Source organism: Homo sapiens, chromosome X (genome assembly GCF_000001405.40).
Source record: "Homo sapiens chromosome X, GRCh38.p14 Primary Assembly".
NCBI lineage: Eukaryota > Metazoa > Chordata > Mammalia > Primates > Hominidae > Homo > Homo sapiens.
This window is the reverse complement of record NC_000023.11, coordinates 152,132,484-152,159,488: the sequence shown is the minus strand read 5'-3', so window position 1 is coordinate 152,159,488 and position 27,005 is coordinate 152,132,484. Positions and strand designations below refer to the sequence as shown.

General features: G+C 41.4%; 2 protein-coding genes across 4 annotated transcripts in view, besides 1 other annotated feature; both read left to right on the top strand.

Annotated features, from left to right (window-relative positions):
- Window positions 3,858-4,152: a silencer, noted in NCBI's record as "tiled region #4801; HepG2 Repressive non-DNase unmatched - State 24:Quies". NCBI's record gives its function as "represses a minimal TATA promoter and a strong SV40 promoter by Sharpr-MPRA in HepG2 cells {active_cell/tissue: HepG2}" and the evidence as "EXISTENCE:reporter gene assay evidence [ECO:0000049][PMID:27701403]".
- On the top strand, window positions 20,912-26,179 carry MAGEA10 (MAGE family member A10). 3 transcript variants are annotated; one of them, NM_001251828.2, is made up of 5 exons: window positions 20,912-21,014; window positions 22,520-22,618; window positions 23,409-23,427; window positions 23,655-23,728; window positions 23,804-26,179. In NM_001251828.2, the coding sequence occupies exon 5, from the start codon at window positions 23,869-23,871 to the stop codon at window positions 24,976-24,978; it is 1,110 nt and encodes a 369-aa protein (NP_001238757.2). In that variant the 5' UTR covers window positions 20,912-21,014; window positions 22,520-22,618; window positions 23,409-23,427; window positions 23,655-23,728; window positions 23,804-23,868; the 3' UTR covers window positions 24,979-26,179. The 3 variants fall into 3 exon arrangements, with proteins under 3 accessions (NP_001238757.2, NP_001011543.3, NP_066386.3); NM_001011543.3 differs by having other exon boundaries at window positions 23,409-23,499; NM_021048.5 differs by lacking the exon at window positions 23,409-23,427.
- The window catches only part of LOC100533997 (MAGEA10-MAGEA5 readthrough), a 24,529-nt gene continuing 18,435 nt past the window's right edge, over window positions 20,912-27,005 (top strand). Inside the window, exon 1 of the mRNA NM_001204811.3 lies at window positions 20,912-21,014. The gene's annotated coding sequence lies outside the window, so the exon portion shown is untranslated. The remainder of the gene's footprint in view (window positions 21,015-27,005) is intronic.

Sequence of the window (27,005 nt, the reverse complement as noted above, 5' to 3'; positions counted from 1 at the left end):
CCAGACATATGAAGATGGAGGTGTCTATGGGTCATGATTGGTGGAGGTGTGCTGGAGGCAATTGTATGTCATGATCTGTAGGTCAGTGTCTGGATCTCAGGGTCTGGAGGCCTGAACTCAAGAAAACAATATGGGATCAAGACTTTGTCAGTGTAGTAAAGGTTGTAATTGAAACCTTAGGACCTCCTTATGTCTCCTGCCCCTGCCCAACACCTCCAGTCATGGGAAGGAGTGCAGAATGAGAAGAGAATGTGGCCCAGATATTCTGAAGAGGAGCAGATGCACTTAAGAGGTGGGCCTGGGACAAGCAGCCAGCAAGGGAGACTGACAATGAGCAGCCAGACAAGCACAAGGAAGACCAGGAGGAGGTGGTGTTATGAACGGAGGCTGAGGGAGGAAAGATAGGATTTCTGGAAGGATAGAGGAGTGGGCATGTTCAGTGATATCAGCTGCTGCTGCTGATTTTAGAAAGGACAAGGACTGAACATATCTTCTTTAGATTTATGGACAAGAGCCTTTGGTGAAGTTCATGAGAGTGCTCTCTGTGGGGTAATAGAGGCAGGAGTCAAATGGGTTGATAAGTGAGGGAGAAGAGAAGAAAGGTAGTGAACAGAAAGGACTCCTTTAGGACATTCTGCAGAAAGGAAAACAATAAATACACAGTTGTAGCTGGAGGGAATGTGGGGTTAAGAAAGGTTGTGATAAGTTAGTTTATTTTTATGTGGGAGAAACATTAGAAAGTTTATAGGCTGAGGAGAAGAAACTAATAGAAAAAGAGAAGAGGAGGAGGAGAAGGGAGTGAGAGAATAAGAAAGGATTGAGAGAAAGAAAGACAGAAGAAGGGAGGGAGGGAGGGAGGGAAGCAGAGACCAGTGAAGTGGAGGTGAGATAGGGTACTGGGCTCAGAGAGCAAGACACAAGAATGACTATCAATAAGAAATTTGTTGAGAGTTTGGTGCCCAGAATCCTTCTTGTGGTAGGCAGAATAATGGTACCCCCAAATATGTTTATATCACAATCATCAGAATCTGTGAATATATTATTTTACATGGCAGAGGAATTAAGGTTGCTAATCAGTTGACCTTAAAATAGGGAGGTTACTTGGGATTATTCATGTGAGCCCGTGTAATCACACATGAGCCAGTGTAATCACACATGAGCCAGTGTAATCATACGTGAGCCAGGATAATCACAAGGATCCTTATGAGTGAAAGAGGAAGGCAAAAATTAAAACCATAGACATCACAGCCTGAGAAGGACTTAGCTCAACACTGTTGGCTTTTAAGATGGGGGAAAGGGGCCAGGAGCCAAAGGATGCAGGTAGACATTGAAAACTGCAAAGGGCAAGGAAATGGATTATCCCATAGGGCCTGCAAAAGGATCACAGCCCGGTGGCACTCATTTTGGACTTCTGACTTCCAGAACTGTAAGATAATAAATTTGTGGTTTTTTTAAGTAACTACATTTGTAGTAATTTGTTATAGTATTCATAGGAAACCAATACACTTTCCCTCATCTTTATTCCTTTCCAAGATTTTAACCACTGGAAAATAACTAAGGCTCATCAATCAAATGTAAGTTTCAGTGCTGGTTTATTAATTTGGGTAAACATTTAAAAGTCCTATAGTACAAGGTTTCTCTTCAAATTCTGTTTGAAACTGGCTTGGAGTGGCAGGATGTTCATCCTACAAAAGTCTACTGCTCATAGAGCCCTATGCAAGGTTCTAGGAACATAGTGGAGAACAAAACAGACCAGCACTGGCACAGAGGGCAGTTTTCAATAACATGCAACAAAAACGGGGCACTTGAACCACAGGTGTCCAATCCTTAGATTTGCATCTTTAGAAAAACCTCGTTCTAGCTCAGTGATTTTTAGTGATTTTTGCCAGCAATGTCGTTGTCCTCATGGGTGAACTAAGAGCACCCTGTAGACAGAACCAGGAAGAACTGAATTGCCTGGGAAGACCATATGTGGACAGGGAGAAACCACACAAGTTGAGAGCTTGATAAGCATTAGGGCAAAAGGACAAGGCCCAGAGCATTTAGAATATTGGTCAAAGCCACAGAGGCAGCTCTGGACTGCAGAACAATGACGCCTAACAGGCAATGCCTCACTAGGAGAAAGTCAGGGGATTGAGGGTCTGAATACTTGAGGCTGTGTTTGATCCCTGAGTGTGCTCTGTCCCTGTCCTTGCTCCCAGGCCCATCATGCTATAACTGTCACAGTGCTGATAACAGTGTGTTAGCTAGCTATCTGCCACAGGACCATGAGCTCCTTCTGGGTAGGGGGAGGGGGCAACTGCTGATTTCTGTACATATCAGGTTATTGCAAGTTCCAGGCACAGAATTGTCAATGTCTTTTTGACTCTGGAAGGAGAGGGGAAGAGATTCACAGAGACTCTAAGCCACAGCGTAAGTTACAGATTTACCTGAGAGTAGGGAAGGGAGGGAGTGATGAAAGGATCATCCTTTTTGACCTCTTTCTCTGTTACTAATGAAGAGGCCAGCCTTCCAAGCCTCTTCATTATTGACCTTTTCATTCTCCCACCCACCTCCTTGAGGGATTAACAACTAAATAAAACTCACTCGAAAGATGTCTTCAGTGAGCAGTCAGGGAGGGAAATCCCAGCAGCTATGGGGTTGTAAGAGCAGGGGCAGCTGCATTTAAGGTCGTGTCAGTGGGTTTGGGGGACAGCCCCTGAACTCTGGATTCTGGGTAGGATGCCCACTTCTTATGGAATCACTTAGGGCCTAAGATTCCCACTTTACAACAGACCCAGGGACCAAGAAGACATAGGCCTGAGGAGTAGTGTCTCAGCAAAGCCTCTGTGAAATTTTGGTACACGAAGGACCCTGAGTTTGCCAACAGTCACATTCTATCAATTGGGAAAGAAAAGCACACATTTCCACATCAGAGAAAGAGATTCCTAGGGAAGATAGAACTGGTACGTTAGTTGCCTTGGTTCCCAGGAACACTTTAAACTGACGCCAGTGACTGCTTCATTTTATGACATCCACTCAATGTATTATAGTTATTCACATATGAACAACATTTTTGTATCAACTTTCCTCTGATGTAAACACACAAACACAATTTTTGAGGAGAATGAATTTTTAAATTGTCTTTTATATGGTGTATGAATCCACAAATCAGACCAAGGCTATTGCATTAATGATTCTTCGTCATCAAGCAGAGAACAAAGACAGCAAGAAAAAAGCCTTTCAATGCCCCCATCCACTCACTGTGATTTCCCTGTCCCTTGCCTCTGTGGATCTAATGCTTCTAATGCTTCACGGCTAGCAGAAGTTTCACTTTTATCCTGGGGGTTCAAGCTGGGAAGAGTGCACTCAGAACAAGGGTCAAAGGATGTAATTTGAAACCAAGAAAAAAGAGTGATGCAACCTTGTCCAGGAGCTGTGTGAAAACATCTTCATCTTATAGTGATGCCCCAGTCACTTGTATGTCAGGAGTTTGGTGCTCCTTCTCAGGCTGCCCACTGAAGCTATCTTTCAAGTGGACTTCATTTAGCTGTCAATCATCTGAGGGGATGGGAGAAATGGAAATGGAAAAGGAGACTTGGGATACTGGAACCAGTGAAGAGAAAGATCAAGGAGGATGACACTTTCTTCTCTCTCTCCTTTCAAAATTATCTAGATATATCCTTTTCCTCCTATTTGAAAAGCTGGAAGCTCAAGATAAAACTTGAGCTGAAGTTCTCAAACTGTGGTTCTTTGCCTTTGTGCCCCTTTGCTCCCACTCTTTGAGATTAACAGAGGGAAATAGTATTTCATGTATAGAAAACAACATTTGCAATGGTTCAGAGGCTCAAAGTCCAAGTAGCTGTTGAGGAACTGCTAGGAATCAAGTGTAGCTCAAAAGGATAGTACTGGGAGAGGGCAGAGAACATAGTGCAGAAGCACATGATAGAGATGTGGGTATAGAGATGTGGGTGCAGAGCTAAGTACAAGGCAGTCATGCAGAGCTGTGTAGGCCAGGGTCAGGAGTTTGAACTTTATCTGAAGATCAATGAGGACCCACTGAGAAACATTACGTAGGAGAATGTTATGACCAGATGAGATTTAAAATGATCTCTTTGCTGCTGGTAGAACAGAATGACAAGGAGTAAGACTGCTTGCAGGGAGGCCATGTAGGAGGCTAGGAAATGTGTTCAGGCAGTAGCTAGTGTTCTAGACACCTGAAAATGCAAAGTCCAGCCTTTCTAACACCCTTTTTAAAGAACACTTAAAAAATACAATGTACAAAATTTGGTAACTAAATATGGGAATATAGAAGAGGAAAGGATATAGCTTGATAATCAGGTTTCTAGCTTGGATGTCTGAATGGATGGCTGTGTTATTTGTTAATTACGGTTTGGTGTTGAGAGTTCAGGATCTCTTGAGTTTAGTTTGGGGACATCCAATTAGAGATGTTCAGGAGGAAGTTGGATATTATGGAACCGAGGCTAGGAGAAAGATCTGAATCAGAGATAAGTATTTAGAAGTAATCAGGATATCAATTATAATTAAACTTAGCAACAAAGAAATCCGTAGTAATCCCAGATAGATCACTTTTAAGTTGCAGGTAAATTTTAGATGGGCTGGAGGGAAAAAACAGGGGAAACGGTCTGATGAATTCTATTTTATTTGGAAATAGGAGAGTGAAAATATATGCTGAGAGTGAAAGAAAAGTGGTTTGAAGAGAGTAGAGAAGGTTTAAGGTAGTCAAAGGAAAGACCAGGCATTCAAAGAGCCAGTTGAACTTGCAGACTATGAATATTCACTGAAGTCAATCTGCTTATTGGTAAGATTTTCTCTAGCAGCCAGTGTTCATCAGACTAAGAAAATGAGGTCAATAGGAGAATGGCTTGTTAGATAAATGAGGACAATGGGGAAAGTAAGTTCTCAGCCCTGGGATTGATACAGAGTAAGATAATGAGTGGATGAACGAATGAACTAATAATGAATGTAAGGGACTCTGTGAGTCCACCTAGAAAAAAGTGAGATTCAGTCAAAGCAATTCTTGTTTCACAACCATGTGTAGGCTCAATACCATGGAGAGAGGGTCTTTCTCAATTTCCACAGACATCCTAAAAGAAGGAGGTGAAGCCCCCAGGGGTTCATCCCACATTAGCATTGGAATTTATCACTGCCCTGAACCCTATTCCAGGACCTTGCTCAATGCAGGCCATGGAGCACTGATAAGCTTTGGAGCCTGCACTATAGGAAGAGATAGAGACACCTACTGTATCCTCTTGGAAACCGCTGCTCCCTGTTCCCACACACCACTTGGCCTGGCCAGTCCTCATGGGGCTGAGTGTTTGCTCTTTGGAGTCCCATTAGAGAAGCCTCTGAGGAGGGAGCTGTCCCTCTATGAGTCTCATTCTCCAAGAGGGTGGGATTTGCTGCTCTGAGCAGGCCTAGGACACATGCCAAATCTTTGCTGCAGAGGCTCTGAGCACTCCAAATCTGAGGCATAAAGACAGTATTTCACGGAACAACAGCCTTCTTTTTACTGACTTCTTCTTATTCCAAGGTAACTTTTGGTAAGGATTATAGACATAAATGATTGCAACAGAAATGTCAATAGTAAATGTTATTGCTATGGATTAAAAACACAAAACAAACAAATAATTGCATTAGTGGGTGGAAATGATAATATTAGGCCAGATAATTTTTTCCACTTTGGTAATTGTAGAATGCAAAGATAATAACTACAACATTACAGGTGGGCATGAAGATTGGGCAGAACCAAAACTGAGTCATCATTGTGAAAACCTCACTTCCCACTCAAACTGTCATTGCCTCCACATAGACTGAAAGCAAATGTCATAAGTCAGCGCATCTCTCATTGTGAAGTGCCTGTGAATCCCCTGAGGGATCTTGTTAAAATGTAGATTCTAACTCAGAGGGTCTGGGTCCAGCCAGAGACATTGCATTTCCACAAGCTCCCAGGTGGTGTTACTGGCACTGGTCCGTGTGCCTGAGGAGAAACGTCCAGTTTCTCTGCTCTATCTGCTAACCATGATTCTCAGCCTCAACATTAAACCCTTCTAACATGGTTTGAGGACCTGACAATACAGGTGATACAGGAAGGCCTGGGAGTGCCCTTCCTCTTCTACTGCATACACTCCCACACCCATGCACATACTAAAAAGCAAGCTTCCTCAGGACAAGGACTTAATCTTCATTTTCACCACAGCAGTTCCTTTCAGAAGAGTGCCCAACACATAGTAAACTCTCAGAAATATTTGTGAATGAGCAAACCCTCACACAACTCTGTCAGATAGGTATTATTTTATCTCCATTTTTCACATGAGGAAACAAAGGCACAGGAAGTTGAAGCAACATGCACAAGTGCACCTGCCCTTCTTCCAGGCTCTTCACCGCTCAACCACATTGCCCTTTTTTTTTTTTAATAACTTTCCAACTGCCACCTCCTGGAGAGGTGGCATTTCTCAATTGATAATGCCCAGCATCCATTTCTCCCTTCCTCCTTTCTAACAGAACCCTAAGTTTACGATTCCACTCCTTCCACATCGATCATATATATGTTGGGCAAAATTAATCCTTTTTGCACCTTGGACAGATTTGATTAATCTGAGGTAATCCATCCCCCTTTGTCGCATATTTAGTTCAGAAATAGAAATGAAAATGTGGCTAAGGGATTCTGGGAGAATTCTCACTCATTCTTTTGACAGAATTTCCAACAGTGATCCTCTTCTCCAGAATGCAAATGAGAAAACCAGTAACTCCATTCAGTAGTGTAAACTGTCTTATAATCCAAGAGAAACCAGCCACAGTATGAAATGTATGGACAACAAAATGGAAAGAACTTGAGTCCCTGATGACATCAGTAAACCACTGGATCAACCAGCCCTAAAGCCCACCCTATCTCAGGTCTCTGTTATGTGATTCAATGTTTCCTTACTGTTTGAGCTAGCTTAAGTTAATTTTTCATTTTATTTGAAGACAAATACATAGCAAATGATATATAACAACCTTATCTCTACTCCTTCGTAAAGGAAGAGGGTGACGGGGAGACAGAATGTGAAATACCATCCACCAGACTCTGACTCATTCCTGACCCTTCAACTTGGCTCCCCTAACTGTGTTTCCATCATCCAGACTTAAACCGTATGACAAAAACTATACCCCTTAAACTTCTTGAAGAACCCTACAGTCATCGAAAGTGGATCTAAATAGGATAAAGAATGGTCAAAATCTCTCCCACTTTACACATCCACCAACTACTGTCTTAGCGGACTTCACTTTCAAGATGTTTAATAGCTCTCTTCCTTCCCATAAACCCACTGAAGTATTGTGAAAGGATCATAAAAATATGAATAATCTCATAGCAGCATTAGAAATCCTTAAAGTGGGGCCGGGCGCGGTGGCTCACGCCTGTAATCCCAGCACTTTGGGAGGCCGAGGCGGGCGGATCACGAGGTCAGGAGATCGAGACCATCCCGGCTAAAACGGTGAAACCCCGTCTCTACTAAAAATACAAAAAATTAGCCGGGCGTAGTGGCGGGCGCCTGTAGTCCCAGCTACTTGGGAGGCTGAGGCAGGAGAATGGCGTGAACCCGGGAGGTGGAGCTTGCAGTGAGCCGAGATCCCGCCACTGCACTCCAGCCTGGGCGACAGAGCGAGACTCCGTCTCAAAAAAAAAAAAAAAAAAAAAAAGAAATCCTTAAAGTGTGCCATAAATATCTACAACATGGAGCAAATTTTGGAAAGTAAGTTTCTATGTGATAAACTTAATGGTGGATCTTAACAGGACTGAATAAACTAAAGCTCCATATAGGTGACAAAAAGACTTCGGAACACAGGAAAACCTAAAGATTAGAAGCAGCTATGTCTGAGAGTGGAAAAATGCCATAGAATCATCAGAGTAAAGTGTTCAGGAGCAGCTTTTTTGTGTCAGTCTGCTCTCAAGGCAGCTGAATATGTCACATTTTTTCAGTTAAAGCTGTGCGTCTGCTGTGGGAGACTACCAGAAGGGATATTAGGACTAGAGTGGGGAAAGTGAGACAGCACTGCAAGTATCTTCAAACTGCCTCGAGGACAAACTGCCTTGAGGAGTACAAAGCATGCTTGCTCCCAACAGGAACATAGCCAGCATTTTGTACGCAGAATCTTGAGTCAATGTAGGAAATAGGGAATTTTACTTATGCTGAGGTAATACACACAGCTATTAATATTGATCAGTCTAGACCAGTGATTCTGCACTTTTTGTCTGCGCACGTAATCACTCAGATAGCTTTAAAATACTGACATTAAGTAGTTGTTACCTTTGGAATGGTATTAACTGGGAAAGGGCAAGAGGGAGTTTTCCTGGGTGCTAGAAATGGTCTATATCAGGGATCAGCGAACTACAGCTCACTGGCCAAATGGGACACACCACCTGTTTTTGTAAAGTTCTATTGGAATATGGACATCCTTACTCGTTTACATATTTCCCATGGCTGCTTTTGCACTACAATAGAGTTGAGTAGTTTCAACAGAGACTGGCTGGACCACAAAGCCAAAAATATTTGGTTCTTTGCAGAAAAAGTTTTCTGACCCTTGATCTATATCTTTTTCTTAGTCATGGTGCATTGTGTATGTATGCATATGTATATATGCAAAGATTGAACTGTATACTTACAATTTTTATGCTATATTGTGTGTAAATTTTACCCTACCAAAAAGTGTAAATAAAAAGAAAGAAATTCAAGTGCTTGGGTAACACGTGCAGATATTCTCACTTAATTGTTCTCTGGTATGGTCTGCACATCAGCATTTGTAAAACCTCCCAAGGTAATTCTAAGGAGAAAACTCATCACAACACCAGCTTCCATGATCACATGGCAGGGTAAAAGAATGTAGGAAATTGTACATTGACTTTTAAAACTTTCATCTTTGGGTGAAATATATAACTTCGGCTCACATTTCTTTGGCAAAAATCACATGGCCACATCTAACTTCAAGAGGTGGGGAAGAGCAATATACCATGTACTTGATACGATAACTGGAATATTTGGTAGATAGCACTGATTGCTACCCCGGTCTTCCTTTCTTGTCATTGAATATTTTGTTTGTTCTCTTTCATCATGCAGAACCCATTTATCTCCCTACTCCCATGAGAGTAATCAAAAAGTCCCATTCCATCACTCTTTCCCTCTCAAAACCTAGAATCTCTGAGTCATGTTTGAAAATTTCTTTATCTTTTCTGAAGATGTCCCCTCTTTGTCAAGAGTTATGAACAAAACACAAAGTTGTTTGCCCCCTCATATGTAACATTCAGTGGTGAAATAGGGAAAGGATAATCACAATAAACAATCTCTTATAGAGAGAAGAATGGGAATCAAATCAGCCACTGGTTAATAGCAATTCTGACACAGAAAGAGTCCCCTGCCTAGTGGCTGGAAACGTTCCTTGATTAAGCCCTAATCCTGGTTCCTGGAAAGTAATCTCCAGTCACTTTTTCTCTATGGACGTTGTCTCTGTCTCAAAGGGTTTTCTTCTTTTCTGTCACCCTCCTTGACCACATCTGGATTGAGCACTGGGAAATATATACTCACTGGGGGCTGAAGAACTCACAACCTGTTTCCTGTTTATAGTAGATTTGGAGCCCAAGAGTCAGTTTAAGTGTCACACAGTCACAGTTAATTTAGCCCAAGGTCGTTATCTATTTAGTTTGACTCAGCTCCAAATGCCAATAACTACACCCACAATTCATTTTGAAACACAATTTGCATATTCACTGTATTTATTTGCTTTCTCATTGTCATGTCTCTCACAATTTAACTGTGGATATCAGGCTTCTATGGGAGAGCTATACCCTAAGTTAATTTCTCCTAAACCTTTTTGTCCAATAAAACAGATTTAGTGGCCGGGCGCAGTGGTTCACGTCTGTAATCCCAGCACTTTGGGAGGCTGAGGTGGGCGGATTGCCTGAGGTAAGGAGTTCGAGACCAGACTGGCCAACATGGTGAAACCCCATCTCTACTAAAAATACAAAAAAAAAAAAAAAAAAATTAGCCTGGTGTAGTGGCATGCACCTATATTCCCAGCTACTCGGGAGGCTGAGGCAGGGGAATTGCTTGAACCTGGGAGGTGGAGGTTGCAGTGAGCTGAGATTGTGCCGTTGCACTCCAGCCTGGGCAACAGAGCGAGACTCTGTCAAAAAAAAAAAATTACTGCAGCAATGGCCCTAATTTGGTCTTTCCTTTGAGACAACACAGTCCATTCAAAGATTTTTACAATGATCAGATGGCCACAGCCTTGATCTAATCCTTGCTTGGAGGCTGAATTTTAATAAACTGTCACCAAAACCCTCCTATGTTCTATGTTTTGTCTTTTACTCACTGGGACTGAGAAGCAATTACCTCTTCCAACCCTGCAAGTTCTCAGATTTCTGGACTCTATGTTCAATTTCATCACTGTTTGCCAACTAGCCAATTCTTTTCCGATCTCTGCTCTTTCTCGTAATACCTTGTCATATTCACTCAACAGTAACTAACATACAGTACCAACATTCTTTATTCTAGTCTCTTCCTCTAGAGCTACACATTGGTTAGGCAGATAATCTGCCTTACAAATTAATGCAGTCAACAGGTTCAGCAAATATTTAAGCACTACGAAGCCTGGATCACCATTCTTCCAGCCTCTGATAACAGCTTAATACCCATCATCTGGTACCTCAGCAAATGCACATATATATTATTATTAATGTTACTGTTATTGTTATTATTTTTGTTATGGAAATACCCCACCTACAGGTACTGATTCCTGTTTCAGCCTGGATAGGTTACATTACATTGTAATATTAAACAATCCAAAAATATCAGTGGCTTGAAACAACAAAATATTTTATTTATTTTTTATACTGCCTGTTCAATGATAAGGCAGCGGGGGAGCTCTGCTTATTGTAATTACCAAGGGACCAGACTTAAAGAGGTTTAGACCAATGTGGGTTTGCACAATCATTATTGCAGATGGAAGAGAATGTGGCAAATTGTGTATTCCTCTTAAAGTTACTTCATGAAAATAATGTTATCTCTTATCAAATCTTCCTAGCCAATACATGTCACATGGCCACATGTAACTTCAAGGAGATGGGCGTACAGTCTACCATACGCCCAGAAGGAAAACCAAAAACATTTGGACAATAGCAATAATGATTTACCAGGATAAACCTGGACATATTTTAGATCAGTTTTCAAACTTCATGGATAAAGGTAAAATACTACAGTTTTCTACAAAGAAAGAAGAGATTACCATTAAAAATGTGAATCTCAGTGTTATCAGACTTCTCAGGCACAATGCAAGCTGTTAGAAAGAGTGGAGTGACATCTATAAACTGCTGAGGGAAAAAGATTTTTAAACTAGAGTTCCCTAATCAGAAAAAGTATCAATAAAGTATGAAGGCATAATAAAAGCCTTCTCAGGGATACAGGGACTCAGGAAATAGAAAATCTGTGCAGTATCACAGAAAGAATTATTCTAAGACATATTCTGGGAAAAGGAGAATATAAAATCCAAGCCAAATATAAGAAATAGTGGAGAGCAAGAAATAAATATTATAGTTTACAATAAATAGTTTTTATAATAAGGCTATAAAATTTAACAAAATTTTTATGTAATGGTTTATAAAACAGAAATGAGATATTATTGAAATAATGATTTGAAATATTCAGTTGAGATCAATGAAACCCCAAAAATATGGGAAGAGTAGAAAATAAACAAAAGCTTTCTAAGAATCTTGTTTGAGGAATATGCTAAACTTGGATTAATATTCTTCGTTGATGGGAGATTATAGGTTTAAATATATTTGTTAGAAGTTTTAAGTCAACAATTTGCTGAATGGAAATAAATAGAACTTTCAAAATAATAGGTTATGATGGAGGGAAAAATACAATGCTCTATATCTAGCAAACATGAGGGAAGAATAAATTTGTCTTTGTTTGTGCTGCTATAACAAAATACTACAGACTAGGCAATTTATAAAGACTAGAAATGTATTTCTTACAGTTCTTGAGGCTGGGAAATCCAGGATCAAAAATGTCAGCTGGTTGTGTGTCTGGTGAGGGCCTTCTTACTGAATCCTGACATGGAGGAAGGTACAGAGGGCACGAAAAGGAAATGAACACTGTGTCTTCACACAGCAGAAGAGCAGAAGAGCACAATAAGGGCCACTCTCTCAAGTCCTTCAATAAGAGCCTAATCCCATCCATGAAAACTCTGCCCTCATGACTTAATCACTTCTTAATGCCTATCACTTTGGTGATTAAGTTTCAACATGAAGTTTGGGGGACACACTCAGACCATAGCAAAAACAGAAAAATAAATTATAAAAATAATTATAAAAATAAAAATATAGAACCTAAGGTAAATATAAAAATTAAAACTAAGTGACAAAAGTTACACCCAGGGAGTTCCACTTCTTGCATTGACAACATGAGGAGCTCCATGGATTCACTCCCCAGTGAAACTGGTAACAATTATTTTTAAAGCAATTTAAAATATCTGGAAATGACCTAAGGGCATATAGCAAATGAAGAAAAACATATTCAAGAAAATCTGACATTTGGTAACAACAGTGAGAGTCTGTGGCATCTGAACCATGACCCACTCCCTTTGCTCTTCCTTATCACCGTGTGAAGGAAACTAAATTCCAGATGGGTGTAGCCAAGAACGTAGGGCAGCCTCTCTTCCAGGTTCAAGTTCAAGAGTATGGTATCTTCCTGGGAGGGGCTGAACTTTGTTAAAAATGTAAACTGAGGCACGATAAAATGTTAATGAGTTTATTTGAGCAAAAAATAGTTCATGAAGTGTGTAGCTCTAAACCAGAAGCAGTTCAGGAGCTCCACTGAAGGATCACAATGGGGAGGCTTTTAAAGGATGGACACAGAAGGAAAGCTAAGAAAACCTTTGATTAGTAGCCAATATACAGTTGTCTTACCTGGCTTATCCCACTGGAAAGTTCTTAATTATATAATTATAAGTTTGTTTGCTACTTCTGATTGGTTGATCTTAAGTTATGTTTCTCTTCACTATAGGCATTTACAAGAAATAGCAAGGCTTTTGTCACTTATGAGGCCTAACTGCTTTTGTCTGTTCAGGAATTATTCAGGCCTGGTCTCCATTTTAACTTTCTTTTACAACATCAACATTTCTGATCCCATCCTAGGCTACCTATTGCAGAGCCTAAGTTCCAGGACATGCAATTGAGAAGTGGAGGTTCCCTCATGGGACAGAAACAGCTTAGAGAAGGAGAGGGAGAGAGAGAGACGGAGAGAGAGAGAGAGAGAGAGAGAGAGAGAGAGAGAAACTTCTTTTGCTTGGGAGAAAGTAAGGGAAGAGAACAAAAGTTTCTGCCTGGTAATCCAGAGAGTTCTTCCAGATCTTATCCAAGACGACCAAGTCAGTACGTCTAAGAGTATGCAGGAGCCACAGTATTACTAGGCTTGGGGTATCCCATAATGCAGATACAGCTGTGGTGACCAAAAAGTTAGATTATAACACCCAAGTTCCTTTCAAATACCTGGAAAGACTTCCAAATAAGGATGGATGCAAGTAAGCCCAAATTGTGAAGACTACATAGAAGAAAAGAGAGAAGAAACAAATAGACAAAATAAGATTGAACAAAGGCCTAAATGTAAAAGATAAATCATAAAAATCTTAGAAGAAACAACAGAGAAAATCAATAAACCCAAATCTAGTTATCTGGATAGATCAACAAAATTAACAATCTTCTAGTGAGGCTAGTCAAGAAAAAAATAGAAGACTCAAATTACAAACATCGGAAATGAAAAAGTGATAATCTTTACCAAGGCCATGGACATTAACAGGATAATGAAAGAATATTATGACAACTCTAGGTCTACAAATTTGGTAAATTAGATAAAATTACCTTAAATGATACACACTACAAAACCTCACACAAAGATAAAAAGATAACCTGAATAAACATATCTGCAAAATAAATTGAGTCAATAATTAATATATTTCCCAAATAGAAATTACTAGGCCCAGATGGCTTCACTGTTGAATTCTACCAAACGTTTAAATAATGCTTAATAGCAATCTACACTCTCTTCCAGAAAATAGAAGCAGACGGAACACTCCTAACTCATTCTGTAAGACCACTCCATAACACCAAAACCAGTTAAAGATATACAAAAAAGCAAAATTACAGACCAATATCTCTTATGAACATAGATCCAAAAATCTTCAACAAAATATAAGCAAATCAAATCCAACAATGTATAAAAATAATTATACATCAGGACCAAGTGAGACTTATTACAGGTATGCAAGGCTGATCCAACATTCAGAAATCAATTAATGTAACTCATGATGTCAACAGGCTAAAGAAAAACTACCATATTATTATATCAATGTATGCAGAATATTCATTTGATAAAATCCAACACACATTCATGATAAAATCCAACACACATTCATGATAAAAATAATCTCAGCAAATGTGGAATCAAAGGGGACATCCTCTACTTAATAAAGTGCGTCTACAAAAGCCCAGAGGTAGTATTATACTTAAGGATTTTGAGAAACCAGGAAAAAAGCAAGTATGTCTCCTCTGACAACTTCTATTCAACATCATATTGGAAGTATTAGCTAGTACATTAAGACAAGAAATTGAAATAAAACATGTGCTTCGGGGGAAGAAAAAAACTATGCCTCTCTTTGTCCACTGAAGAAATGTTTATCTGTGTAGAAAATGTCATAGAATTCATGACAATAACAAACACAGGACAACTTTTAAACCAAAAGGTGATTATAACAAGGTCATAGGAAACGAGATTAATATAAAAAATAAATTGCTTTGTCAAATACTGTCAATAAACAATTAAAATTTTAAATTAAAAACATCATTTATAATAGTTCCCCCCAAACAAAATACCTATGTGTAAATCTTCAAAATACGTATAGGCTCTGTATATGGAAACAACAAAGCACTGATAAAAGAAATCAAAGAAAAAATAAATGGAAAGTCATTCTGCATTCATGGGTTGGAGACAGAAAATTGTTAGTATGTCAGTTTTTCCCAATATGTTCTGTACATACAATATGATTCCAATCAAATTCTCATCAAGGTATTTTCTAGATATCAACAAACTACTGTATATTTTATATGGATAAGAGTAGCTGAGCATAGGCAATACAATATAGAAGAACAACAAAGTCAGAGGACTCACATTACTTAATTTCAAGACTTACTATAAAGTTATAGTAATCAAGACAATGTGGAATTGGTGAAAGAATAAAAACATAGATAAATAGAATAGTGTCCAGAAATAGAACCACACCCATAGAGTCAATTTATTTCTGACAAAGGCGCAAATGCAATTTCATGAAGAAAGTTAATTTTTAAAATAAAATATAAAATGAATCCAGACAAAACCTTAGACCTTTCACTAAAAACTAATCCAAAATAGCTTGTAGACCTAAGCGTAAAATGCAGAAACTATATAAAATCTCTAGGAGAAAGCAGGAGAAAATCTATATAACCTTGGATTTAGTGATGAGTTTTCAGATTCATGAAAGACAAATTGGTAAAGTTAAGTATCGTTTTAAAAATGTGTGCACTCTGTGAAAAACATTGTAAAGAGAATGAAAAGAAAATCCACAGAGAGAAAATAGTTGCAAAACACCTACCAAATAAGGCACTTGTATGCAAAATACAAAAAACTTAAAACTCAACAATTGAAAACCAGAAAACTCATTTAACTGGGCAAAGGTTTGAAGCAGATGCATCACCAAAGAAGACAGGTAAAAAATGAGCATAGGAAAAGATACTGAATATTATTTGTTATTATGTAGTTTCAAATTAACTAACAATAAATACTACTACACACCTACTGGAATGTATAAAATTTAAAAAATACGAGTCCAATTGCTAGAAAGAATGCAAAGAAGGAACTCTCATTCATTGCTGGTTGAAATGAAAAATAGTACAGCCACTTTTTTAAAAAAATGTATTATTATTATACTTTAAGTTTTAGGGTACATGTGCACAATGTGCAGGTTAGTTACATATGTATACATGTGCCATGCGGTACAGCCACTTTTGAAGACAGTTTGTCAGTTTCTTAAAAACACTAAACATAGTCTCACCTTAGATCCAGCAAGCACGCTCCTGGGTTATTTTCCTAACTGATTTGAGAACATATGTTCACACAAATCCCCATACGTAAATGTTTATAGATGCTTATTTGGCAATCACCCTAAAGTGGAATATGTCCTTTAATGGATGAATAGATAAACAAACTGTGACACAGCCTTACAATGACATATTATTCATAAATAAAAAAGAATGACCTACAAGACATGCAAAGACATCAAAAATATTAAATGCATATTGTCACATGAAAGTAGCCAGTTGGAAAAGGCTACAGAGTGTATGACTCCATTTATATGACATTTTGGAAAGGGAAAGAATTATAGAAACAATAAACATACGTAGAAAAGTGTAAAAAGGTTAAGCACAGGAGATTTATTAGGGCAGTGAAACTATTTTTATGATACTGTAATGGTTCATACATGACAGTATGTGTCAAAAATCATAAAACTTTATAGCACAAAGAGTGAATCTTAATGTATGAAAATTAAAGAAATAATTTAAGAGATCAAAAAATTCCAGGATGAAATGTAGAATATAGCAAAGCATTCTAACTGTATTAAAAATGTATGAAACAATCTCATTGAAGGGCATGATGGGAATTTGCTGCCTTAAGTAACTTGGAAGTGAGTGTTGTAAAGCTAAGGTCAAAAGGAACTGTATGTAAGTGCTGTACTAGAGTTAGTAAAGTTGTTTCCCACAGGAGTACAGATTAATAATTCTGAAAACAGTATACATGTATATTGGAATTGAACAGTTAACTGAATGGATTGACAGATGACAGGAGATGAGTTTCTCATTGTTAGAATGGGACGTCACAGGTAAGCAAGGGGAGGAGGCTAGAATAATCTTTGTTGTAATGGATTAGAGTTGGAGACGTCAGCATAAAGTCATGTTCGGTTTAATATAGTTACAGATGGTTACATATCCAAATATTTATAGGTGTGTGTAGACACACATATATATTTCATTGCTCTGTGAACTGAGAAAGGCTATAAGTAACAACTCCCCCAGTAGCAACAAGCCCACCTAGAACTAAGATGTGAGTTTCTAAAACCATCATCTAGTAAAAATAATTAGGGCTCCTTGGAGAAATGGCTGATTCTGAGACTGGGGCATGAAATACAGTTGCCCCTCTGTGGATTCCACATCCATGGATTTAAAAATCCAAAGATCAAAAATACGCAAAAAAAACTGGATCTGTTCATAACATGTACAGACTTTTATTTTCTTGTCCTTATGCCCTAAACAATACAGAGTAACAACTTTTTTACATTGCATTTACATCATATTAGGTATTATAAGTAATCTAGAGATAACTTAAAGTATATGAAAGGATGTGCACAAGTTATATGCAAATGTTATACCATTTTGTATAAAAGATTGAGCATCCGCAAATTCTGGTGTTCATGGGAGGTCCTTTTAAAAAAAGTTTTGTGGGTACAAAGTAAATGTATATTTTATGGGGTACATGAGATGTTCTGATACCATGGAAGTTCCTGAAACCAATCCCCCAGGGATGCTGAGGGAGAACTGCATATAAAATGAGCCTGGAGCATTTTGTAGTGTCAGAAAGTAAGATCTGAAAAACTTCTTAAGGGACACCACAAGTGCTGCATTGAGCAAAATCCATACTATGGGAAACTAGACAAAATACAAGACCTGTTTATTTTTTTGTTTTGTCTTGTTTTAAGTTGCAAGGAAAAAAAGATTAATAGTCAGAGAAATTATAGATTAAAAAAGACTAAGCGATATAACCAATAATTTCACTGATTAGATCATATTTAAACACTGATTCAAAGAAACTAATTTTTAAAGTATATGTCTGCCAGGTAAATATGGAAATTATCTGGGCATTTGATGATTACTCATTTAAACTGTTAGGAAATATAATTACATTGAATTTATGTTTCACAAAAGAGTTCTTATCTTTTATAAAAGCATATGAAATAATTAGAAACAAAATGATATGATGTCTGGGATATGCCTCAAATCATTACGGTAGCAAGAGATGGAAGTAGGTAAGAGTAAAATTAGAACCAGATTGGACAATGTATTGAAAATTGTTGATGCTAAGTGTCTGGTATATTGGTTCATTATACTATTCTCTTTACTGTCGTATATGTTGAGAATATCTGTAATAAAAACTTTTTATTGTAAATATCATGCCATTAAATTTGAAATCCTAAGTGAAATTGATCACTTACAGGTTTAATCAAACAATACAAACTGAAACTGTACAGTATTCAAAACTCAAGCCACTGCCAAATGTTCCAGGATAAGGCAGTTTGGGAGGCCAGTTATACCAAATGATCATGGAGAAACAAATTACCATCTTATGTAAACTCTTCCAAAGCATACAAAAAGATGGGTAATTATTCAACTCATTTTGCCAGGCCAGCACTCTTTGATTCAAATACCAGATGAGAGCAACCAGTGAAAAGAATGCTTGAGCCAAGCTCTCTCACATAGCAGCAAATATTCTAAATAATTTAATAGCATATTCAACATAGAAGTATATTAACTGAACAAACAAGCTCTGTCCAAGGAATAAAAATTATGATTTAACATTAGAAAATGCTTTTAATTGTAATTCCCTGTAAACAAATTAGAGGAGAAAAAACACTTGATTATGTCAATGGCTACATAAAAAGCATTTCAAAGAAGTTTAACACAAGATAATGGTAAAAAAAAAAAAAAAGTAAACTAACATTAGAATAGAACTTGCATTACTTAAAATCTATAGCAAACGCACTTAAATGTGAAATGTTATAAGAATTTCCATAAAAGCCAGGAACAAGACAAAAATGTATGCTACCTTCTCTACTGTTCAAAACTGCACTGAAACACATAGCCAGAGCTATGGGTATCAAACTAAATAAGATGCATGAATTTTGAAAAGAGAGATGTTTGGAGACAATGTTATCTTTAACGAATAGTCAAAGGAATAAGCATGTGGAATATTTAAATGAATAAAAGACTTCAGAAGAAAAATGTTTTATGGAAGCTCATTATAGCAAAATCAAGAAACTGGTCATAAAAAAACAGTAAATAGAACATACAATAGAAAATATCCCATTAAAAACAGCAAAAAACTCCTAAAATTACCTTAAAGATAATCCTAACAAAAATGAGCAGGATCTTACTGGAGTCAACTGTAAAAGTTTGCTGATAGATTCAGGTGAAAGAAGTCCCAAATAAATAAAGCATTATACCATATCCATTAATGGAGAACAGAATATTTTAAAGGCGTGAATTTTCCTTAAATTATTTACAGAATTAGTGCCTTACCTTTAGGCCAAAATGAGCATCAAGTTCATATTGCTGACTTACACTCCAGAATCAATCCTGGAGGGGAGAAGGGAAAAAACATTATCAACACTCAACAAATTCTACACAGCAAAACATGATAGAACCCTAAGCAGACTGCAGAATTTCGAATTGGACCTTGTGTTTGGAGTAGGGGGAGTGGAGGACAACAGTGCATTTGCGGAGGTCCGCAGCCTGCATAGACGGCAAATAAGAGGACGAGTAGGAAGAAATATTTGAATTTCTGGCCCTGCTTTATTGCACAATCTGAGGCAACACTTCATACCACGATGCCAGTAGCCCAGTAGCTCTGGAGTGATATCAGGACAGCAGGAAAGACGGGGTTGATTGAGGGAGTATGACTCCGGAGTCTATGCTGCTAACCACCTAAAACCACCACAGTGACGACTGGTCTTAGTTGATCCTCTGCTACAAGTTAATAATTCTTTATATTAAATTTTCTTGCTCAGAAAAAAAGAGAAAAATTATTATAATAGAATATAAAGAATAGACCAGAAATAGAATAAGCAGTGAACCACACAGCGTAAGGTAGGTATTCTTTCATGAAATGTTATATATGTATTCAATATACACTTGGCAGACATTTAAAACACATATTTTTACTAGGAATGAGGGTTAGAAAACCAGACATCACTGCATTGGACTATAAAATATCAGCTAAACTCAAAACAGCAGGACCTCTCCACACCCCGATGCTCAGCCTCTTTCTTGTAGAAAATATACCCTTTAGGACAAAAAGTTTGCCAAGTCTACTTGTGGCTTGGGAAGAGCCCCGTTGGGAAGGTGTGCGTCTTCTCCCATAGGTCATTACAATCACGGGTGTTGCAGCTCCCCAGGGACCATCTGGCCTGGGAACCGCACCCATGCTCTGCAAGGGATGCAGCTGGGCAAATGATCAGAGGTGACGGAAACTGAGCATCTCCCACCCATCACTTCATCAAAGAGACAAAAGCCAGGAGGAAGACCCTCCTGAGTGAGGACCGAGGGTCCACCCACCCCTCACAAAGGGGCCACAGAATCCAGCTGAGCCCCTCTTGTCAGCCCTGGAAGACCCTGGCAATGTTGTCACCCCTACCACAACCCTCCCCTCACTGCCACCTTGGAAGACTCCGAGTCAAGAGACCTGGTTTAAGGGGAGAAGACATCCTCAGCACAAAACAGGGGTCCAGGCTTTTCCAGGCATCAAGGTCGAGACACTGAGGGATGACTGAAAGACCCCACCCCCACCCCCACCACGACCCACAGCCCCAAGATCCCCATCCCAGTTCCCACCTCCACGCCCCTCCCCACACTCATCTTCACCACCACCCCTGCCCCAACCCCATCCTCACCCGTACCCCACCCCACCCGGACTCCCACCCTCACTCCCACCCCAACTCCCACCCCAGTTCCGGCAGAATCCACTCCGCCCCTGCTGTCAACCCAGGGAAGCCCCGGGGACCGGATGTGACGCCACTAACTTACGCCTCGGGGATCAGAGAGAAGCGAGGTTCTCGTTCTGAGGGACAGGCTTGAGATCGGCTGAAGAGAGCGGGCCCAGGCTCTGTGAGGAGGCAAGGTGAGAGGCTGAGGGAGGACTGAGGACGCCCCCAACCCAGATAGAAAGCCCTAAATAATACAGCGCTGCCTCTGCTGCCAGCTCTGGACCACCTGAGGGCAGACTTCTCAGGCTGGGCTGTCACCCCCCCCCCACCCCCGCCCCCACTCTCTCCCGCCGCTTAAGCCGCAGGGGACTCTGGGAGTCAGAGCTTGGTGTGACCAGGGCCCGGCTGGTTCGGCGGGAGCCGCGCCTAGGTTCTGCCAGCATCAATGTCGGGACGCTCAGGGAGGGCTCTGCCCCTGATGTCGGCCCTGGGAAGCCCTGGTCATGGCGACCAGGAACGCAAATTCTGACGTCGGCATCTGAGGCTGACGTAGGGAAGGGGATATTGGTACCAAGAATGCGGCTTCAGGGGAGCAGAGGGAAGGCCCGGGCCCTGCTGGGAAATGAGGGAGGCATGAAGGGATCCCAGGACAGGGTGCCCACCCCACCTCTGTCTCAGACCGAGATGTCTCTTCACTCGGCCTGAGGAATCCAAGGGACGGTGACTCAGGTCTGCGGCGGGGCGTGGTAGAGGAGAACAACCCAGCCAAGAGTCAAGGGGAGGAAGAAGAGAAAGGACTCAAGGGACCTTGGAGTCCAGATCAGTGGGGACCTCAGCCCTGGGTGGTTTCAGGCACGGTGGCCCATGTGATGTGTCTTTGCTGTGCCTTTGGGGTGTCAATGAGGAGAGGGCTATGGTCTGAGGAGTGGAGCCTCAGGTCAGCAGAGGGAGGAGTCCCAGAGCCCTGAGGGAGGACTCAGCAGATCCCCGCATCTCAGAACTAGGAAATCTGTCCCTCTTATCAGCTCTGGAACCCCAGGCAGGACGGTGAGGAAGAGAAGTGGCCCCCACTTTCTCACCGGGGATCCCAGGGAGATGGTGGCTTTGGCGTGCAAGACCCATACACGATTCAGCAGGAGGGAAAGGGCTGGGCCCTGTCGGGAGTAAATCTGAATACCTGGAGGACACCCAAATAAAGGAAGTCCCCGTCTTGTCCCCCTCCCCTGCCCACCACCCCCCCCCCCCCCCCCGCCAAATGTCTGCTCCTTCTGTCAGCTTTGGGAATCCCATGCAGGTGTGATCGTGTGGTGCCCCTCCCCACTTCTGCCTGCCGGGTCTCAGGGAGGTGAGGACCTTGGTCTGAGGGTTGCTAAGAAGTTATTACAGGGTTCCACACTTGGTCAACAGAGGGAGGAGTCCCAGAATCTGCAGGACCCAAGGGGTGCCCCCTTAGTGAGGACTGGAGGTACCTGCAGCCCAGAAAGAAGGGATGTCACAGAGTCTGGCTGTCCCCTGTTCTTAGCTCTGAGGGGACCTGATCAGGATTGGCACTAAGTGGCAAGCTCAATTTTACCACAGGCAGGAAGATGAGGAACCCTCAGGGAAATGGAGTTTTGGTGTAAAGGGGAGATATCAGCCCTGGACACCCCACAGGGATGACAGGATGTGGCTCCTTCTTACTTTTGTTTTGGAATCTCAGGGAGGTGAGAACCTTGCTCTCAGAGGGTGACTCAAGTCAACACAGGGAACCCCTCTTTTCTACAGACACAGTGGGTCGCAGGATCTGACAAGAGTCCAGGTAAGGAACCTGAGGGAAATCTGAGGGTACCCCCAGCCCATAACACAGATGGGGTCCCCACAGAAATCTGCCATGACCCTACTGTCACTCTGGAGAACCCAGTCAGGGCTGTCCGCTGAGTCTCCCTGTCTTATACAAGGATCACTGGTCTCTGGGAGGGAGAGGTGTTGGTCTAAGGGAGCTGCACTCGGGTCAGCAGAGGGAGGGTCCCAGACCCTGCCAGGAGTCAAGGTGAGGACTGAGGGGACACCATTCTCCAAACGCACAGGACTCAGCCCCACCCTACCCCTTCTGTCAGCCACGGGAATTCATGGGGAACTGGGGGTAGATGGACTCCCCTCACTTCCTCTTTCCATGTCTCCTGGAGGTAGGACCTTGGTTTAAGGAAGTGGCCTCAGATCAACAAAGGGAGGGTCCCAGGTCGTATCAGGCATCAAGAAGAGGACCAAGCAGGCTCCTCACCCCAGTACACATGGACCCAGCTGAATATGGCCACCTCTTGCTGTCTTTTCTGGGAGGACCTCTGCAGTTGTGGCCAGATGTGGGTCCCCTCATGTCTTCTATTTCGTATCAGGGATGTAAGCTTTTGATCTGAGAGTTTCTTAGACCAGCAAAGGAGCAGGGTCTAGGCTTTTCCAGGAGAAAGGTGAGAGCCCCACGTGAGCACAGAGGCTCCCCACCCCAGGGTAGTGGGGAACTCACAGAGTCCAGCCCACCCTCCTGACAACACTGGGAGGCTGGGGCTGTGCTTGCAGCCTGAACCCTGAGGGCCCCTCAATTCCTCTTTCAGGAGCTCCAGGGACTGTGAGGTGAGGCCTTGGTCTAAGGCAGTGTTTTCAGGTCACAGAGCAGAAAGGGCCCAGACAGTGCCAGGAGTCAAGGTGAGGTGCATGCCCTGAATGTGTACCAAGGGCCCCACCTGCTCCAGGACAAAGTGGACCCCACTGCATCAGCTCCACCTACCCTACTGTCAGTCCTGGAGCCTTGGCCTCTGCCGGCTGCATCCTGAGGAGCCATCTCTCACTTCCTTCTTCAGGTTCTCAGGGGACAGGGAGAGCAAGAGGTCAAGAGCTGTGGGACACCACAGAGCAGCACTGAAGGAGAAGACCTGTAAGTTGGCCTTTGTTAGAACCTCCAGGGTGTGGTTCTCAGCTGTGGCCACTTACACCCTCCCTCTCTCCCCAGGCCTGTGGGTCCCCATCGCCCAAGTCCTGCCCACACTCCCACCTGCTACCCTGATCAGAGTCATCATGCCTCGAGCTCCAAAGCGTCAGCGCTGCATGCCTGAAGAAGATCTTCAATCCCAAAGTGAGACACAGGGCCTCGAGGGTGCACAGGCTCCCCTGGCTGTGGAGGAGGATGCTTCATCATCCACTTCCACCAGCTCCTCTTTTCCATCCTCTTTTCCCTCCTCCTCCTCTTCCTCCTCCTCCTCCTGCTATCCTCTAATACCAAGCACCCCAGAGGAGGTTTCTGCTGATGATGAGACACCAAATCCTCCCCAGAGTGCTCAGATAGCCTGCTCCTCCCCCTCGGTCGTTGCTTCCCTTCCATTAGATCAATCTGATGAGGGCTCCAGCAGCCAAAAGGAGGAGAGTCCAAGCACCCTACAGGTCCTGCCAGACAGTGAGTCTTTACCCAGAAGTGAGATAGATGAAAAGGTGACTGATTTGGTGCAGTTTCTGCTCTTCAAGTATCAAATGAAGGAGCCGATCACAAAGGCAGAAATACTGGAGAGTGTCATAAGAAATTATGAAGACCACTTCCCTTTGTTGTTTAGTGAAGCCTCCGAGTGCATGCTGCTGGTCTTTGGCATTGATGTAAAGGAAGTGGATCCCACTGGCCACTCCTTTGTCCTTGTCACCTCCCTGGGCCTCACCTATGATGGGATGCTGAGTGATGTCCAGAGCATGCCCAAGACTGGCATTCTCATACTTATCCTAAGCATAGTCTTCATAGAGGGCTACTGCACCCCTGAGGAGGTCATCTGGGAAGCACTGAATATGATGGGGCTGTATGATGGGATGGAGCACCTCATTTATGGGGAGCCCAGGAAGCTGCTCACCCAAGATTGGGTGCAGGAAAACTACCTGGAGTACCGGCAGGTGCCTGGCAGTGATCCTGCACGGTATGAGTTTCTGTGGGGTCCAAGGGCTCATGCTGAAATTAGGAAGATGAGTCTCCTGAAATTTTTGGCCAAGGTAAATGGGAGTGATCCAAGATCCTTCCCACTGTGGTATGAGGAGGCTTTGAAAGATGAGGAAGAGAGAGCCCAGGACAGAATTGCCACCACAGATGATACTACTGCCATGGCCAGTGCAAGTTCTAGCGCTACAGGTAGCTTCTCCTACCCTGAATAAAGTAAGACAGATTCTTCACTGTGTTTTAAAAGGCAAGTCAAATACCACATGATTTTACTCATATGTGGAATCTAAAAAAAAAAAAAAAAAAAGTTGGTATCATGGAAGTAGAGAGTAGAGCAGTAGTTACATTACAATTAAATAGGAGGAATAAGTTCTAGTGTTCTATTGCACAGTAGGATGACTATAGTTAACATTAAGATATTGTATATTACAAAACAGCTAGAAGGAAGGCTTTTCAATATTGTCACCAAAAAGAAATGATAAATGCATGAGGTGATGGATACACTACCTGATTTGATCATTATACTACATATACATGAATCAGAACATCAAATTGTACCTCATAAATATCTACAATTACATGTCAGTTTTTGTTTATGTTTTTGTTTTTTTTTAATTTATGAAAACAAATGAGAATGGAAATCAATGATGTATGTGGTGGAGGGCCAGGCTGAGGCTGAGGAAAATACAGTGCATAACATCTTTGTCTTACTGTTTTCTTTGGATAACCTGGGGACTTCTTTTCTTTTCTTCTTGGTATTTTATTTTCTTTTTCTTCTTCTTCTTTTTTTTTTTTTAACAAAGTCTCACTCTATTGCTCTGGCAGGAGTGCAGTGGTGCAGTCTCGGCTCACTGCAACTTCCGCCTCCTGGGTTCAAGCGATTCTCCTGCCTCAGTCTCCTGAGTAGCTGGGATTACAAGTGTGCACCACCATACCCGGCTAATTTTGTATTTTTTAGTAGAGATGGGGTTTCACCATGTTGGCCAGGCTGGTCTCAAACTCCTGACCTCAGGTAATCTGCCCGCCTCAGCCTCCCAAAGTGCTGGGATAACAGGTGTGAGCCACTGCACCCAGCCTCTTCTTGGTATTTTAAAATGTTGTTACTTTTACTAGAATGTTTATGAGCTTCAGAATCTAAGGTCACACGTTCGTTTCTGTTTATCCAGTTTAAGAAACAGTTTTGCTATTTTGTAAAACAAATTGGGAACCCTTCCATCATATTTGTAATCTGTAATAAAATAACATGGAATTGGAATAGTAATTTTCTTGGAAATATGAAAAAAATAGTAAAATAGAGAAAATAATTTTAAGTGTTAGTATTTTTATTTCTTTATTATTTTTAGTTTATCATCCTGCAAAATTAAAAGTTATATCCCTGGATCTTGTTAAGTCGAAATTAAACTGTAATAAATGAAACCTTTGCTCACTAGTGCATTTTTTCCCCAAACATCCACTGAGCATCTGGTCTGTGGAAGGCCCTGGGTCTGTAGTGGAAATGTTAAGCCAGAACCACCTTTACCCATAGGGTGGTAGAGTCTAGGGGCTGCAGTCAAGTAACAAGGTGGCAAGATGTCCTCTAAGACCCAGAAGAAAAGTAAGACGGGGTGAGGGTATTGGGCTGTAGGTGAGAGTGGTCACGTACATCCTCTGAGCCAGGACTTTTGGGGCTTTGAGAAACTGCAGTTCCTTCTGGTGAAGATGAATCCAAAGAAGCTGGGTGGTGCCAGGGTCAGAGCCTCACATAGTTGACAGAGCAAATCCTGGGATGTAAAACTGCTCTGAGCAGTTCCTTTTGGGTGGTGGATGAACAGAGAGGAGTCCACCTGGGGCAGGAATGGAAGGTGTTCTGCACTCTTGTCTCAGTGCAGTTGAACTCCTAATTAAATTAAAAAAATAACTAGGTGATAGATACCCATCATATGCAAGGGTCTCCTGAGAGATAAGGATCTCATAATAAATAAGCCTATGAATTGATGCCTAGAAGTTAGCTGACTCCATTAGAGAAACATTTTAATTGGGTTATTTTTAGTGTAATTTGAACAACACTAAGCAAGGGCTAGATTTTGAGTGGTGATGAAATGAATGAAAATCATGATTTGGATGGAAAAGAACCTTGGAGAGAGGGAAGGAGTTGATACTTGACTCAAATTCCATGAACTTTGAGCAGCATCCAGCAGGGAGAAACTCCTGCACATGAAATGTTGAAAATATATCCTCTAAGAGGGAAAATTTACTGAGTTTT

Bases quoted from the DNA above. Each gene is read 5' to 3' on its own strand.
- MAGEA10 (NM_021048.5), top strand. From the start codon at position 23,869: ATGCCTCGAGCTCCAAAGCGTCAGCGCTGCATGCCTGAAGAAGATCTT.